This window comes from Homo sapiens, chromosome 5 (genome assembly GCF_000001405.40).
Source record: "Homo sapiens chromosome 5, GRCh38.p14 Primary Assembly".
NCBI lineage: Eukaryota > Metazoa > Chordata > Mammalia > Primates > Hominidae > Homo > Homo sapiens.
The window spans coordinates 26,717,067-26,717,839 of record NC_000005.10 but is presented as its reverse complement, the minus strand read 5'-3'; positions in this window follow the sequence as shown (position 1 = coordinate 26,717,839).

Here is a 773-nt window from a genome sequence, read left to right as displayed (position 1 = left end):
CTGTGCGCAGTGGCGCATACCTGTAATTCCAGCTACTCAGGAGGCTGAGGCAGAAGAATCGCTTGAACCTGGGAGGTGGAGGTTGCAGTGAGTTGAGATCATGCCATTGCGCTCCAGCCTAGGTGACAGAGCAAGACTATGTCTCAAAGAAAAATAATATATATAGAGAGAGCAGTGAGACAGTCTTTGAAATGAGAACCAATGATCTACTTTTAACAAAAGAACTGAAAATGAGTCCATGATTTTTAGACTCAGTTGAAGTTCTTCATTGCAAGGTGTGAGATGTGATGTCTCCAATTGCTTCCAAGGGAGCAGGTAATGCAATCTAGAAGTTTGCAAGTTGATTGGTATGAATTAAACATTGATTATTGGGCATAAGACAGATGGGAACAACAGGTAAACTTCCTTTCCGTCTCCTCTCCTGTATAGCTTCTCTAAAGATTTCCAGGGAGACGAAGCAACTGGCCATTCTTGCTATAGTTGTGTCCTGCTTGCTAATGCATGTTGTTAGTTTTCAATCCTGCCTTGTCTTATTCAGTCCTATTTCAACAGAATTAAACATCTCTACTTAAGCTCAGAAGACATTTTTGCTGCAAGTTCTGCTTTCTTGAGAACCTTGGCTAAAACACTGGTTTGACTAGAGTTGTGACTGGCTTCTAGATGACTGAATCAGCCAGTATGTAGTGCCATAGCAGAAAAAGGGGGAGGAATGAATACCCTGATCCCATTCTCCTCCTGTCTTTATCTCCTGGCCATGCCTTCTATTGAAAACA